This window comes from Homo sapiens, chromosome 3 (assembly GCF_000001405.40).
Source record: "Homo sapiens chromosome 3, GRCh38.p14 Primary Assembly".
NCBI lineage: Eukaryota > Metazoa > Chordata > Mammalia > Primates > Hominidae > Homo > Homo sapiens.
The window spans coordinates 108,462,609-108,478,068 of record NC_000003.12 but is presented as its reverse complement, the minus strand read 5'-3'; the positions used below and the strand labels follow the sequence as shown (position 1 = coordinate 108,478,068).

The 15,460-nt window shown below is 38.2% G+C and overlaps 1 protein-coding gene across 2 annotated transcripts in view; it reads left to right on the top strand.

Moving 5' to 3' along the window:
- The window catches only part of MYH15 (myosin heavy chain 15), a 170,705-nt gene that overhangs the window by 73,004 nt on the left and 82,241 nt on the right, over nt 1–15,460 (top strand). For both annotated transcript variants that reach the window (XM_011512559.3, NM_014981.3), the window contains 5 exons: nt 1,554–1,672; nt 7,222–7,371; nt 7,857–8,027; nt 13,255–13,431; nt 14,826–14,958. In XM_011512559.3, the coding sequence (XP_011510861.1) occupies nt 1,554–1,672; nt 7,222–7,371; nt 7,857–8,027; nt 13,255–13,431; nt 14,826–14,958 (750 nt within the window). The remainder of the gene's footprint in view (nt 1–1,553; nt 1,673–7,221; nt 7,372–7,856; nt 8,028–13,254; nt 13,432–14,825; nt 14,959–15,460) is intronic.

Here is a 15,460-nt window from a genome sequence, read left to right as displayed (position 1 = left end):
TACCTTCTATTATAAGACATTATTCAACAGAATGACTATGCCAGACATACTAGCATATCTCCAAATTCCTTTAAAATAGAAAGCAGAGAGGGGTTTTGGATGAGTGGAATATTTATTTTGTTGGTAACTGAAATAATCTACAATTTGAAATAAGCTTATAAATTTTTGCCTGTGTCATTATTTTGTGTCATTTTTTCATACCTGAAGTGATACATGCCTATTTACTTTTCCTTCTGATAATACTTATTCTCCACTTCTTGAGGAAATGGAAGCTTTGTTTCATAAAACAATTTTGTGGGGTGTAAGTATTATTGTTGGGCAGCAGAGGGCACTACGGAGCAAACAGAGACCTTGCCGGGAAAGGAAGGGTGTTTTACAGATAGCTGGCAAGTGTCCTGGCTTCTGTTGATTGGTGCTTGTCTATAATTATCAGATTACATGGCCCAAGTCCGTGTTTTGTTGAAAGAGTCCACAAGTACATACATAGAAAGAGAAAACAAATTATAAAGATGGCATTTTCCATGTCCTTCAGACAAATTATATCTCAATTTTTAAAAGATTCTGTTTCTTGATACTAGTCCTCTTTTAGAAGATTCATACACCATAATATTCACCTTTTAAACTGTATAGTTATTGGGTATTAGTATATTCTCAAGGCTGTGCAACCACCACTATCTAATTCCGGAACATTTTATTATCACAAAAATAAACTTTTAGTAGCAACTATTAGTAGTTATTTTGATTTTTGCTTCTCCTCAGCCTGTGGCAACCAAAATCGACTTTCTGTCCTTATGGATTGCCTGTTCTGAACAGTTCATAGAAATGGAATCCTGCAATATGTGGCCTTTCGTGTCTGACTCCTTTCACTTAGCATAATGTTTTCAAGTTTCAGCCATGTTGTAGTGCACATCAATACTTCATTTTTGTAAAATGACTAGCAATATCGTATTATATGAGTATACCACATTTTTTAATCCATTCATCAGTGATGGACATTTCACTTTTTCCCACCTTTTGACTATTGTGAATAATGCTGCTAGAAACATTTGTGTACAATTTTTTGTGTGAACATATGTTTTCATTTATCTTGGGTGTGTACCTAAAAGTGATATTGCTGGGTTCCATAGTAACTCTATGATTAACTTCAGAGTAACTGTCAAACTGTTTCTCACGGCAAATACACACCATTTTGCATTCCCACCCACAATGCATGAGGGTTCACATTTTTCCACATCCTTGTCAACACTTGTTATTGTCTGCCGTTTTGATTATAGTCATTCTAGTGGCTGTGAGTGGCATTATATTTTCTTTTTCCTTAATGCCAACAAACTGAAGAAGTGAGATTTCAATGTGGCTTTGACTTGTATTTCGAAGAAATAATTTCCTTTAAACTTTTAGGATTCAGGCATTTATTTGAAAACTACAATCTACTTTGCTACGCTGATGTAAACACACTATCTTTCTGTCCTCTGGGTAGTTAGTTTGGCTATAATGGAATGAATCTTAACAGTGTTTTCCTCTCTCCTTCCTTTTCTTCTATTTCTGATGACCAGATGCTGACAAAGCTGCTTTCCTCATGGGCATTAACTCCTCTGAGTTGGTAAAGTGCTTGATCCATCCTAGAATCAAAGTTGGTAACGAATATGTTACCAGAGGTCAAACTATAGAACAGGTAAGGTGATATTTCAAGAGCATTATTATTCTATGATCTTCCAATAATTGTATATATATTGTACTGTATATTTTTCAACTACTAAGGATGTTTGCAATAATGAAAGCTTCTATAAATAAGCAAAAAAGAGCTCTTGGGATGACTATTCCAAATGTTTTTACTTGTGATGCACACCACAGTAAATGCTCTTGTCTGAAACATACATTTTGAAAGTTTTCCCTTAGGTAGCAAGTATCTTTGCAGATGCAGACAAACCCTCCACTTGTTGTGATCAACATCTTTGTCATCCAGCGAGGAAGCTTTCAAAGCTGTTCATTCCTAACATGGATAAAATTGGCAAATTGGCATGCTTCACGTATTTGGCATATTGGCTCCTTTGGCATAAAAGACACATGGTGACACGTTAGTTGAGAAACAGTTTTAGGACATATGCTAAAAATCAATATTTGAAAGGAGGTGTGTGTTGAAAACAGAAATGAGAGATGGAACGCCATGCAGATTTTGTTTAGCATCCAGGAGAATGTTATAGTAGAGAATAACAAATTCTTTGAGGCTTTGCCTTAATGCAGTAAATATTCCCAGGGCCACTGGGTAATGAGACCATCTAAGCATGCTAGTATGTTTCAAAAATAATAATTTATATCTGTAGTGTGTAAGGGAAAATATGAGATAAGCTGGGCTGCAGTAATGCACACACACTAAAATCTCAGTGACAACAAAATATTTCTTACATCAAGTGCAATACAGAGTATACAGCCTTCTCTGTTTTGTAGTTCTATGTAGTTCTTTGTAGTTCTATGCCATCTGGGACACACGGCCTCCCAAGTGACTGCACAAGGAGAAAAGATCATTTGCAGAGAAAGTACAACCACCTTTAACTGCTTGGGCTAGAAGTAATATCACTTTCACTAACAGTCCATTGGTAAGAATTAGTAAAATAATACCTTTAGCTACAGAAAGGGGCTGAGAAATGTAGCCTTTCTGGAAAGAGGAAGTGGTGTCACACATAGTATGGATAAAGCATTCACAGTATTATTGCCTTCTATTCTTACAATAATACTCAGAGCTAAGTAGGGCAGAAATGCATAATTTATGTTTTTCCTAGTTGAGGAAACTGAGTCAAAGAGAATGTTAAGTAACATTCCAAAGGATATATAGCTAGTACTCAGGTGATACTGATTGTCTTACTCAGTATACACCCTAACTCTGAAAAAGAGATAGACAAATGTACAAATTTGTAATATAAGACAGTCATCTTATATATGATGACTAGAATAGATGTGTTTCCCTTGGTATATTAAGGTAACTGATGTGTCTGTGTTATTTAAAACATTTAAATGACTGATCAAAATCAATTTATTAATTTAGCTTACTCTATAAATGGATAATTCTACCTCTACTATAATACTAACTATACTATATTGAAATAATCTGCTTAGATTTTTGTCTTCTAACCTCTTTGAAGCATGAACTGTGTCTAATTCATCTTAGTACTCCAAGCATCTAAAACAATGCCCTGTAAGCCGTAAGTGCTCCACGCATGTTAAAATAGACTACATTGAGCTAAACTTGAATCACGATCAGCAGGACACATAACTGAGCTATTTCTTGGCAGGGGGTTAGAGTTGTTCAGCAGTTTCATACCTTCTTAGACATTCACCACAACATGCATGCATGACATGCTATGTTTATAGAACAGGGTTTTTCTCTGTATAAAACTAATGAGCCCAAATAGCAAGAAGAGCAGATTTGGAATGTTTCTAATATAAAGAAATGATCAGTGTTTGAGGTATAGATGTGCTGATAACCCTGATTTGATCATTACCACATTGTATACATGTATCAAAATATCATTCTGTACCTCATAAATATATATAATTATTTATCAATTAAAATAATAATAAAAACAAAAAAAAGCAAAAATAAAAAATAAAAAAAAAAATAAGGAGCCCCTAGGAGGGCTGAGAACAAGTCTTCAGCTCTCTAATATTGTGTTCTGAGGAATTAAAGACACAATATTATAGTAAGGACTCCAGCCTTTACTATAATAGGACCAGTGAAACAAGCTAATATATTATTATTCAACATTAAAATAAAAAATCCTCCTCCTCTCGCTCTCTCTCTCTCTCCTGGAGACATAGTAAGAAAGCATGCTCTAAGGCTTTTTTTTTTCCCTTAGGAATTTTTCTGATTTTATAGAGACAATTGCCATTGCTAAAAATAGAGACATGTATGCTCTGTTGATGACAATTGCAAAAGATGGGAAAAATTTTTGCAACGTTAACATTCTATACAAAATTTAGTTCTAGCTATAATGCTAACTAACTCTGATACCTTGGTTAATTGTCTTCATCTCTCTGAGCCCCACAGTGAAGTGGTTGAACAACTTTGTATTTCTCAATGGTAATTGGCATTTAAGATGGGACAGTTCTTTATGGATGAGAGTGTCCTGCACACTGTAGATGTTTGGGATTCCTGGCCCCCAGGTAACTGAATGCCAGTAGCATTCTTAGTCACTGTGACAACCAGAAAATGCCACTTGCATTTCTAAATGCATTCCTCCTTTGAGGAGATACCATCCCAAGGTGAAAGCTGCTATATATGACTATCAAGAACTAAGGATCTTCAGGTCTAGTATTTTATGATTCCATGATATTTCTAACTATGTCACCTAGAAATAAGTTACTTTATGATTAATAATAAAATAATAATAATGTCCACTGAGTACTAACTATAGGTGATGTACTAAGTGCTTTGTATGGATTATCTCATTTAATCGAATAACAAGCCTATGAAGTAGGTCTTGTTATTTCTATTTTACAGCTACAGATAGTGACCCTTAGAAAGATTAACCACTCAAGGTGACACAACTAGTAAGTAAATACTGGGGTGAGGATGAGAAAGTGATAAAAGCAGAAAAGGGGTGGAAAAGGGAGGATTAACATTTATTGGATACTAAGCGTCAAATATGCTGTCAGTTTATATCCTCTGTCTCACTGGATATCTCACAACAACCCTGAGCTACACATATTTCATTATTATTATTTTACAGATGAGAAAGAGAGGGATCAACATAGTTAAAAATTTTGGCTGGGCACGGTGGCTCACGCCCATAATTCCAGCACTTTGGGAGGCCGAGGCGGGTGGATCACCTGAGGTCAGGAGTTTGAGACCAGCCTGGCCAACATGGTGAAACCTTGTCTCTACTAAAAATACAAAAAATTAGCCGGGCATTGTGGTGTGTGCTTGTAATCCCAGCCACTTGGGAGGCTGAGGCAAGAGAATCGTTTGAACCTTGGAGGCGGAGGTTGCAGTGAGCTGAGATCGTGCCATTGTACTCCAGCCTGGGCAACAGAGCAACACTCTGTCTCAAAAACAAACAAAAAAGATTAACTATTTGACTTTGTTATTTTTTTTCTGTTGTTGTTTTCTATATGCACTATTGCCCCCCAGTAACCAAAGCCTTCTGTGAGGTTATTTTAAAAAGAGCTAAGAAATGGGTGCATTTAACCCTTGAAAAGTGGAAATATAGATTTAGCCACCTCATTTCCTCTCCATTGGACAGAAAATGATGAAAATGATTAATTAGTGAGCAACATATTGATCTGTTTCATGAATTCATTCAGCAGACCTTTACCATCCATTTATCCTACTGCCTACATTTCCAGGCTTTCTTCTTGTGTTTCTCCACTACTTGCCACACCTGACCTAACAGTGTCTCTCCCACTCCCACTTCTCAAGTATTTAGGGAATTAAAAGGGGGTGAGCAAGTTAGTCATGTTCTTTTTAAAGTTTCAGAGTGACTGCTGTAGACAGAGTGATTTCTTCAGTGTTACAGAGGATGAAAATCATTCTTGATGCTTTATTTGTACGTGTGTGCTCTTGATGCTGATAATAAAAAACTGTGATGCCATCCGGCTTATGGATTACTGTGGAAATGACTCAAGATAACTGATCAGGGAGTGGGTGACTCATAACTAAATCACCACCAGACACCAACTGGCTCCTGCTGTGTGCTCTCTCCTGGGCAGAAGGATGGATGTGATAGGTCTATTTTAAATGTTAAGTGATTGGAGCACGTTCTGTTTCCAGGCTTGGAGAATGGCCAGCTAAAATTCTCCCTTCCTTGGAGTATGTCAGAAACCTGCTACTACAGCAGCGCTATTGGAGTTATGGAAGTAGGATCTGCATTTGTAGAGCATCATCCAGGCACAAAGGTTGGCGCTCTCCCCAGTAGGTTACTTTAGAACCTTTTCCACACCCCTCCAGGGAAGGAAAAGGCAGCCTCAGTTTTACAGCAGGAGAATCTGAGTCAGAATGATTCACAAATGGCTATTCTCTGTCCAGGTTGTTGAGAGCAAAACTGGGAACTAATATAATAAAGAGTTGGAAGCTAAGGCTAGGAAGATCCTTTAAGAGTGTTTTTCAGATGAAGATGTTGCTTTCCAGAAAGGTTAGATCACTTGCCAAAGGTTACACAATTTATAGCAGCTACAGCAGTGGCAGAACAAGGGTTAGGGATTATAAATTTCTAATGTACTATACCACTACTTTTCAAACTATTGTGCATAGTATTACAAATATTCTGAATCTTATTAAGATGGTAAGGAAGACTTCATTCAGGACTGCTGCAATAGATATATTGCAACAGGGGAGAGATACTGGGCTCAGCTGCAAGTAAAACAAGGATAAGTGGGGATTTACAGCCCAAGACCAGAAGGAGGGGATCAGTGGATGGAAAATTACTAACAGGGGGTAGGAGGATTTTTTTAAATTGACCTAACAGGATTCTTGCTAAAGGCAGGCCAAGAACATATACATCAAAGGTGAGGGATAAGGAATTTAATCAGAGATCAAGGGTGAGTGATTCAGCAGACTTCTTCCTGCAGCTGGGCTAGACAGGCTGAAGACAGGACAGGTAAGGTGGAGGCAAGGGGTCAGAGGATCCTCATTAAAGTTTGGTCAAGGAGAGAGTCTTTGTCAATAGGAATCAGCTGGGGATTGTTAGCTTACAGATTCTGATTCAGTAGGTCTGGGACTGGGCCTGAGAGTTTGCATTTTTAACAAACTCTTAGGTGGTGCTGCTGCTGGTCTTAGGATCACACTTTGAATAGCAAGGCTTTGGGACACATCACCACACCATACCCCGGGATAGTTAGTCCTTTAATAATAGGAACATGATTCCTCTCATCTGTGTTTTCATAAAGAGGCACCAGGCTAGCTTACTCCTTTCTCCTACCCATCTCCTTTCCTCCTTTTTCTTCCCTTCCTCTCCCCTTCATTTTCCCCCTCCCTCCCTCCCTTCTTTCCTTCCTTCCTTCCTCCCTCCCTCCCTTCCTTCCTCTTTCTCCTTTTCTTTCTTTCTTTCTTTTTCTCTCTCTCTCTCTTTCTTTTCTTCCTTTTCTCATTGTATTCAGCAGAATGTTGGAAGCACAGAAGGTCAATAAAGACATCCTAATTTGACTAGAAGGCAGTTGCTGATAGAGAATGCCCGGGATTAAAATGAACACTTCAGTCAGATGAAGGAGTGTTTTCAATGTGATTTCTAGGTAACCTGTGCTGTCGGTGCCCTGTCCAAGTCAATGTATGAAAGGATGTTTAAGTGGCTAGTGGCACGGATCAACAGGGCCCTGGATGCCAAGCTGTCAAGGCAGTTCTTCATTGGCATTCTTGACATCACTGGTTTTGAAATCCTTGAGGTAAGTGTATCTGGTAAGAAGGAAGTCAATGCATATTTATAAGAAGATTAGAAAACGTTACTTGAAGATGGGAAAATATGGTCAAAGCATGGGGATCATTCTATGCAAACCTTAAGGGCTACCTTGTTTGGAAAAGAGCTATAATTAATATCAATAATAATTATTGTTATACTTAATGGTATTAAGTATTTATTGATTTCTTAATTCTGGCTTACATAAAGGTAAATGGAGGTAAAGGAATTAATTATGATTTTAAATTTTAATACCATTAAGTGCTATATTATTGTAATAATCTTTAGAAAATTGTACTTAATGATATTACAATTCAAAATTACAATTAATTAAGTTAATTGAGCATTTGTTACTTGTTGGGTCTATTTCTGATCATATAATAATGGTTATGGTTTTTTCTTTACTGGACATTCTTGAAAGTGGACCTCAATTTTATTTTTATCTCTTCTTCTTACCTATTCATATCCTTGAAGTATAATAGCCTTGAGCAACTTTGCATTAATTTTACCAATGAAAAATTACAACAATTCTTCAATTGGCACATGTTTGTTCTGGAGCAAGAGGAATATAAGAAAGAAAGCATTGAATGGGTGTCTATTGGCTTTGGTCTGGATTTGCAAGCTTGCATAGATCTCATTGAGAAGGTAATATATGTTTTTCTCTTTGTCCATTTTCATTTCGGGAGAATTGTCCCTGCCTGCTATGTTGATCCATGTCAGGACTTAGGCCCTATCAGAGGATGGGAAATGGGGGCGGAAAGCCCTGCACATTTTATCTTAATGGTGTTTGTGTGCATCACCTGTGGCATCCAAACGAAACTCTCTTGTCAGTTGCCCCACTCCATCATCTCTAATGCAGGCTTTCACTGCACATTTGATGCTAATGCATGGCCTCCACTGTTAACGTGAGCGGAAACTTGTTGAGTTTAAAAATGGTCATGCTCTTGACTGGAAAAACACAGAGCTAAAAATATGAGCACTGTAGGGCCTAACTGATTAACATAAGGTGAATGAGTAGACCCAGAGCAGCTTAACAAAATTTGGCAAATTAGCATGCAAACAAACAACTGCCATCAATCCTCAAGGCCACTACCTTGCAGGATGTAGTTTGTTCATTTAATTGGACAAGTACCAGTTAGTTTAAGTAATTTATGACAATACTTCATGGCTTATTAGTAAATTAGCTGCAGTGTACAGTTTCTGAATTTGGTGATGTCCCAATACTCTGAAATCTTTCTGCATGTTCTGGGAAAGATGAGCAAGGTTTGCTGGGGGATTACGTATGGTCCTTTCTGTGGCTTTCTCCATGGGAGCAAGCATGGCGGCATGTTAGCAGTTACATGCCTCTTGGGCCTCGCCATAATCGTGGATTGCAGTGAATCTTCAAGATGGATCTGGGCAGTCTGAAGCCTTTCATTTCCTGAATACTCTAGCTATGCTGTCACAGTTGATTCTCAACAATCCTGCTAGGAAGGAGCTAGGGCAACTGACCTCTCCCTGTCCTTTGCAAGCCCTGGGTTTTATCAATCCGTGTCCTATCAATTTCATTTATTAGGCTTTAGATCTTCTTGAAAATAACTATTATTTCCAACAGGAGTAGATATCCCGTTGATTTTATTTATTTTATAACAAGTGAACTTCCTGGGGGAAAGACAGGCTGATTAAAACATATTAATAATGAATCAAACATGAGCTGATTAAAAACAGTGATAAAGATGAACCAACTATGATGTGGTATGTATTCTGGCCTTATAAGAGCCGTAGTTGTCTCATTAGAAATGAAACAAAAGAACTGGAGGTCCTCAGAGGAACAGATTTATCTTCTGGCGATTGTCACCTATAATATATACTCACTTTGATTATGACAAGATACTGTTTTCAGGCAGGAACGTGGGACATAGACATTGTTCAGATCCTGACAAGTTCTGTGAATGTTACTGATTTTTAGTTGATCTGAAGTCTGTTGCCTCATTTATGCCAGTCTTGGTTATTCCAAATAACACACTAGCATCACGGATGTAATTTCCTGTTGTATTTTCTACTGATATAATAAAATGAGAAAAAATTACTGACCAAATGATAAAAGGAAAAGATAAGTCTTTGGTTTTCTACAAACAATTTTAACAGGATCCAGGTCAGGCAAATGAAAATACCAAAGCCTTCCTTGAAAAGATTCTAAATTTTGAAAAGACCCATTATGTTCGTTGGGGCTATCTGAAGAAGATTTGTAGCAAATATTAATGATCAAACTCAGTCCTTGAAATAAAATGCATAATGGGATGTTTTTAAAATTTGAAAGTACTAAAACACATCAATATATATAAAATGTTGTATAACATGCATCTCTGTATACGTATAAGAAAAAAGGATTTTCATTACATAAAAGTTTCATATTTGTAAGTTTACAAAAAAGTCTATATCAGCTGGGTGCAGTGGCTTATGCCTGTAATCCCAGCACTTTGGGAGGCCAAGGTGAGTGGATCACTTGAGGTCAGGAGTTTGACACCAGCCTGGCTAACATGGTGAAACCCTGTCTCTACTCAAAATACAAAAATTAGCCAGATGTGGTGGCGCATGCCTGTAGTCACAGCTACTAGGGAGGCTGAGGCAGGAGAATAGCTAGAACCTGGGAGGTGGAGGTTGTAGTGAGCTGAGATCGCACCACTGCACTCCAGCCTGGGCAACAGAGTGAGATTCTATCTCAAAAAAAAAAAAAAAGTTTATATCAAACTAAAGTAAAAAATGTATTCTAACACAAACTTTAATTGTTAATTTGGTCTTCAAGTTTACCGTGACCTCCTTTCACATTTGTGCTGTGAACAAATTTATTATAGGATTTGCTCATACTTATTTTATTACTTGAAATATTCTAGTTTGTTTAGAACTTGTACATCAATAATTTACATATTAAAGTATTAATATATGATTACATATTTATGGTTATACATAAGGCATTGGTAAAGAGATTTTCCCTATTATTTCCTAATAAATACTCTCCAAGTTATACATTTAAAAACTTACTATTCATTTGGTGTAAACACCCTAGAAGGCAACATACTTCTTCCAATAATTTAGCTCTTTGGAAAATTTCTCACGATATTGGGATTAGGATAGATTTTAGAATTTTACCAGCCTCAAGAGAAAATTGGCTTCAATACTTTTCATTCACTGGTTTTTGAGTCCAAACTATACTACCTAGCATGTAATGATATACCATCAGACAACAGGAATTTTTCATGTTAGTAGTCAATAGTATCAGGTATCCCAAAGAAAGTTCTAAAATATTTTAAATACTGGCAGCATCTTGGCATTATGTGTTATCACCTCCCAAAAGAAGCTTTTCAGATGTGTTAATTCTTGTGTTTTTAATATAAAATGAATCATATTAATATCTAGTTGTATCTTGTATGCACATGAGTATTCTCTTTAAACACATAACTCCATCCTTTTTTTGATTGGCAACTCTTACATTTTGTTTGATAATTGATCACAGCAAAGCAGTCAAGTTCCCAGAACTCAGACCTGTATGTCTCAGGGTTCACCTGTCAATTAATTACTCAGCAGAAATGTGCTGAGGGCCTACACTTTAGTTACCTCGGAACCTACTATGATAAGGGTTATGATGTACAAACCCCAGAAGGCATCATCCTGGCACTCCAGGAACTTCTAGTATTATTGGAAATAAGCCTTAAAACAGAGGCTTTTATTTTTTATTAAACCAATAAGTAAGTCTATTTTGCAACTATTTGTTTTGGTTGCTTCCTGTTCACCCCATTGCTGAAGGAGGAAATCCTGCCCTAGGTTTATGGGAAAGGCTGAACATATGACATCCAACACTAGACAGATGAGACCAGCATTTTATTAGCCACTTATGCTCACAGCCTGCAGGGGGGACACCTTGAACCATGCGGGGCCATGAGAGGGTTATGCTGAGAATAGAGTGAACAAGCGGGGGCTTTAGGAGGCAGGCTTTGTAGTAATTATAGGTGACGTGACAATAGAATCCTACAGAAGGATGCAACAGGCTTGTTTGAATAATTTCATGGGCTGATAGAGAAATGAAACCCGTTACTCAGGTATAAGCAGGCACTATGTATGGTCCCTGCCATAAGGAAGGTGTTTGGCTAAGGGATCTAACACATGGGAGCACAACAGAAAGGGAACTTTTGAGCCCCTCCTGGTTTTTCCCAGATGTCAAGGCACACATAATGTTGGGCCTTAATTTTAGGCCTTCTACCACACTACTGTGTATAAGACTCTGCGTAAAATGCTGTAGAAAAATGTAAGCATTTTTTATAAATAGTTTTTGCCTTCAGGAAATTTGCAGTCAAGTAAAGGATTTGTAAGTCTAATAAAAGTAAAAATGCATTTAAAAATTATGCGCTATATAAATGCAATAAAATTTTCCTACACACCACATTCTCTCCATCAGCAAGTTGGCACTCAGCTCTAAATTTGACGCATATCTTATTTTTAATGACTTCTCATAAGCTCCAACACTACCACTATTCTAGACCAGGGGTCAGCAAACTGACTTTGTGGACCCAATCTAGCCTGCAGCCTGTTTAGGTAAATCAAGTTTGATGGGAGCATGGCCACACTCATTTTGTTTACATGTTGTTGCATGCTGCTTTCAGTGTTTCAATGACTAAGTGGATGGCAAGGGTCTGACAGAAACTATATGGTCCTTTAGAGAAAAAGTGTGCTAATGGAGGTCATGAGATTTGCAGTAACATTTTTTGTTTGTTTTTTTGTTTTTTGAGACAGAGTCTCTCTCTGTTGCTCAAGCTGGAGTGCAATGGTGTGATTTGGGCTCACTGCAACCTGTGCCTCCCAGATTCAAGCGATTCTCCTGCCTCAGCCTCCCGGGTAGCTGGGATTACAGGCACACACCACCATTCCTGGCTAATTTTTGTATTTTTACTAGAGACAGGATTTTACCGTGTTGGCCAGGCTGGTCTCGAACTCCTGATCTCAGGTGATCTGCCCGCCTCAGCCTCCCAAAGTGCTGGCGTGAGCCACCTCACCCAATCTGTTTGTTTTTTAAAACTCTTTAAAAATGTAAAAGCCATTCTTAGCTCACTGGCTTTCCAGTACAGAGTGCAGGCAGGACTGAGCCCATGAGCCCTACTTTCTAAACCAATGATCCTCTTTAAGCATATATCAAATCACAGCACTTCATTTAAAAAGCCTCCAAAGGCTTCCTATTACATTTAAAATGAAAGCCACATGTCTTACTACAGCCTATAAGGCCTTTGAGCTCCAGCTGCTCCTTACCCCTTTGACATTATCTCTTAAAATGTGTTCCGTCAAGCTAGCTTTTCTCTGCCCACACTGGCCTCTGGCAGGACCTCAGACTTGCCAAGTGGGCTCTGGCCTCGGGGCCTTTGCATTCTTCATTTTTCTGCCTGGAATACTTGTGCACAGATCTTCTCAGCTTGTTGTTCTCATTCAGGAGAGGTGTCTTACCCAATGACTCTATCTAAAACCTCCTTACCCCCTGTCATTCTCTACTTCTTTACTTTGAGTGTTTTCCTCAGAGCATTTATATGAAACTAAGTCATTTGTTTTTTGGAGTTATTTCTTTGTTTACTTGCCTACTGTCTGCCACTCCACTAAATGTACGCACCCTGAGGACAGGCACTTTGTATATGTGGCTCACAGCTGCATCAATCACCAGCGGCTATTGGTATCGTTATTAAGTAGCAGATATTTAATTAATATTTGTTGAATGGATGATTGCTAGTTTTATGCAGTGAATATTCTTCCCTTTGTCAACTGATTAGGTTCCTGGGAAAGAATTTATACTGACCCCCTACTGAAAGTGCCGGTGTTTTTAAAGAAATCTGCTGCTCTTATGTCTCTTCAACAGCCAATGGGCATCCTTTCCATCCTTGAAGAAGAGTGTATGTTTCCTAAGGCTACAGACCTGACTTTCAAGACCAAACTCTTTGACAACCATTTTGGAAAGTCGGTTCATCTCCAGAAGCCCAAGCCTGATAAGAAGAAATTTGAAGCTCATTTTGAACTTGTCCATTATGCAGGAGTGGTGAGTTACCTCTGGACCCCCGGTCTTGAATTTTCCTGACTTTGTTTCAAATGCGCTCAGCCAAAGTCCTTAGATGATATTTAAGTAATGTTTAGATTAAATGAAGAGAAGAACAAAATACATCTCAGTTCCACAAAAAAGGTAGTGTAGCCTTTTAGCACTCAGGAAATGAACAATAGCATTCCATGTGCACAGAGGTCAAAAATCTCCAAATGGACTCTGTCAACCTCAACTCAAAGCAAGGCAGCTTCAGAAAGGCATGGAGACCATCAAAGTCATGGTTTTCCCCCATTTGTCCTTCCTTTTAACTTAACGTTGTGTGAATGAATGATTTCAGTTGATCTTTTTGTTGAAGATTTTTTTATTCTCCCGTAAAGAAATAGTCAATGTGAAGTAATGGTCTCCAAACTATGGCCAAAAACGGTTTCTAATGACCCTTGCTACCTCTCCTCATTTCCTCACCAGTGTATATGCCCCTTTTTCTGCATTTCTACTTCTGGCTGGTGACTCTGGTGGAACAAAAAGAGAATTGATAAAAGATAAAATAATACTTCGACCTAAAAATGGCCTGCCAGCTGTACACAGATATGTTTATAGTTCTCTTCTTTGATATCCTGGCATATTAATTATAATGATATATACAGTAAAATACCATTGCAATTGCTGGTTTTTTTTTTGAATGTTCACTGTATGTCAGAGACAGTTGGATTATTTCACCATTCTTGCCTTTAAAGGACTGCTGGTGTGAAATGCCATTCAATCCTTCCTTCCTCTCTGTTGCTCTCTCCCCCCTTTCTTTTCTCTCCTCTCTTCTACTTCTTCCCCTATCTCTCTCCCTTCTTCCCTTCCTGTCTGTTCCTTTCTTTTGACAATGTTAATGATAAGAATCTTGAGAATCTTTCTGGGCTGCACAATGGGCTTTTGGAGGTTATTCTGTACTATTACATTAAACTGATTTAAAGGTAAAGGACCCATATAATTTGTGATTTATTAAAAGTAATGCAAAGGCTGGGCATGGTGGCTCCCTGTAATCCCAGCACTTTGGGAGGCTGAGATGGGTGGATTGCTTGAGCCCTAGGAGTTTGAGACCAAACCGAGCAACATGTGGAAACCAAATCTCCACACATACACAAAATAAATAAAAATACAAAAAAAATTAGCCAGGCATGGTGGCATGTGCCTATAGTCCCAGCTACTCTGGAGGCTGAGGGGGAAGGATTGATTGAGACCAGGAGGTCGAGGCTACAGTGAACTGTGACTATGCCACTGCATTCTAGCCTGGATAACAGAATGAGACCCTGTCTCAAAAAAAAAAAGGGGTAATGCACAGCCTTCCATGTTAACTTATGCAGTTTTTTTTCTTTTTTTAACCTGAAATGCATGCCTTTCCAAAGGTACCTTATAATATCAGTGGTTGGCTGGAAAAGAACAAAGACCTCCTTAATGAAACAGTGGTAGCTGTATTTCAGAAGTCTTCCAACAGACTCCTGGCGAGCCTTTTTGAAAATTACATGAGTACTGACAGTGGTGAGTCATACAATCTTCCTTGATTTTTCAGCCTCAGAATGGAACCCATGGCTGCCTCAGCTTTTGCAAAAATTCTTGCTTCTTTCCTGTGATATGTTTCTGCTCCCTGTGGTCTGAGTCGTCCCCTCTTATTAGTCTTTCTGTCTTCAGGCTGGGGGTTCTTCAGGGAGATGGTACTAGTGCTCTAAGATAGATTCAAGAAGTCTGTTCCTGGCCTGCTTTTGTCTTCTACTTCACCTAGCTACAAAGGGAAAACAAAAAACATGTTTTGATGAATGATTTTGGGGCAATAACTTATTGTCCCAAATATCTATATAACTATATATATATAATTATAGTTATTGCCCCAAATATCTTAGAATATTCTCTTTCACAGCACTCTGTGCACTTAGGGTTATTAGAAGCTTCACGAGGGCAGGGATTATGTCTGATTTATTCAACTGTAGCCTCTAGCATGCAGCAAATACCTGTTTAACAGGCATTCTATTCTGACAACTAATCT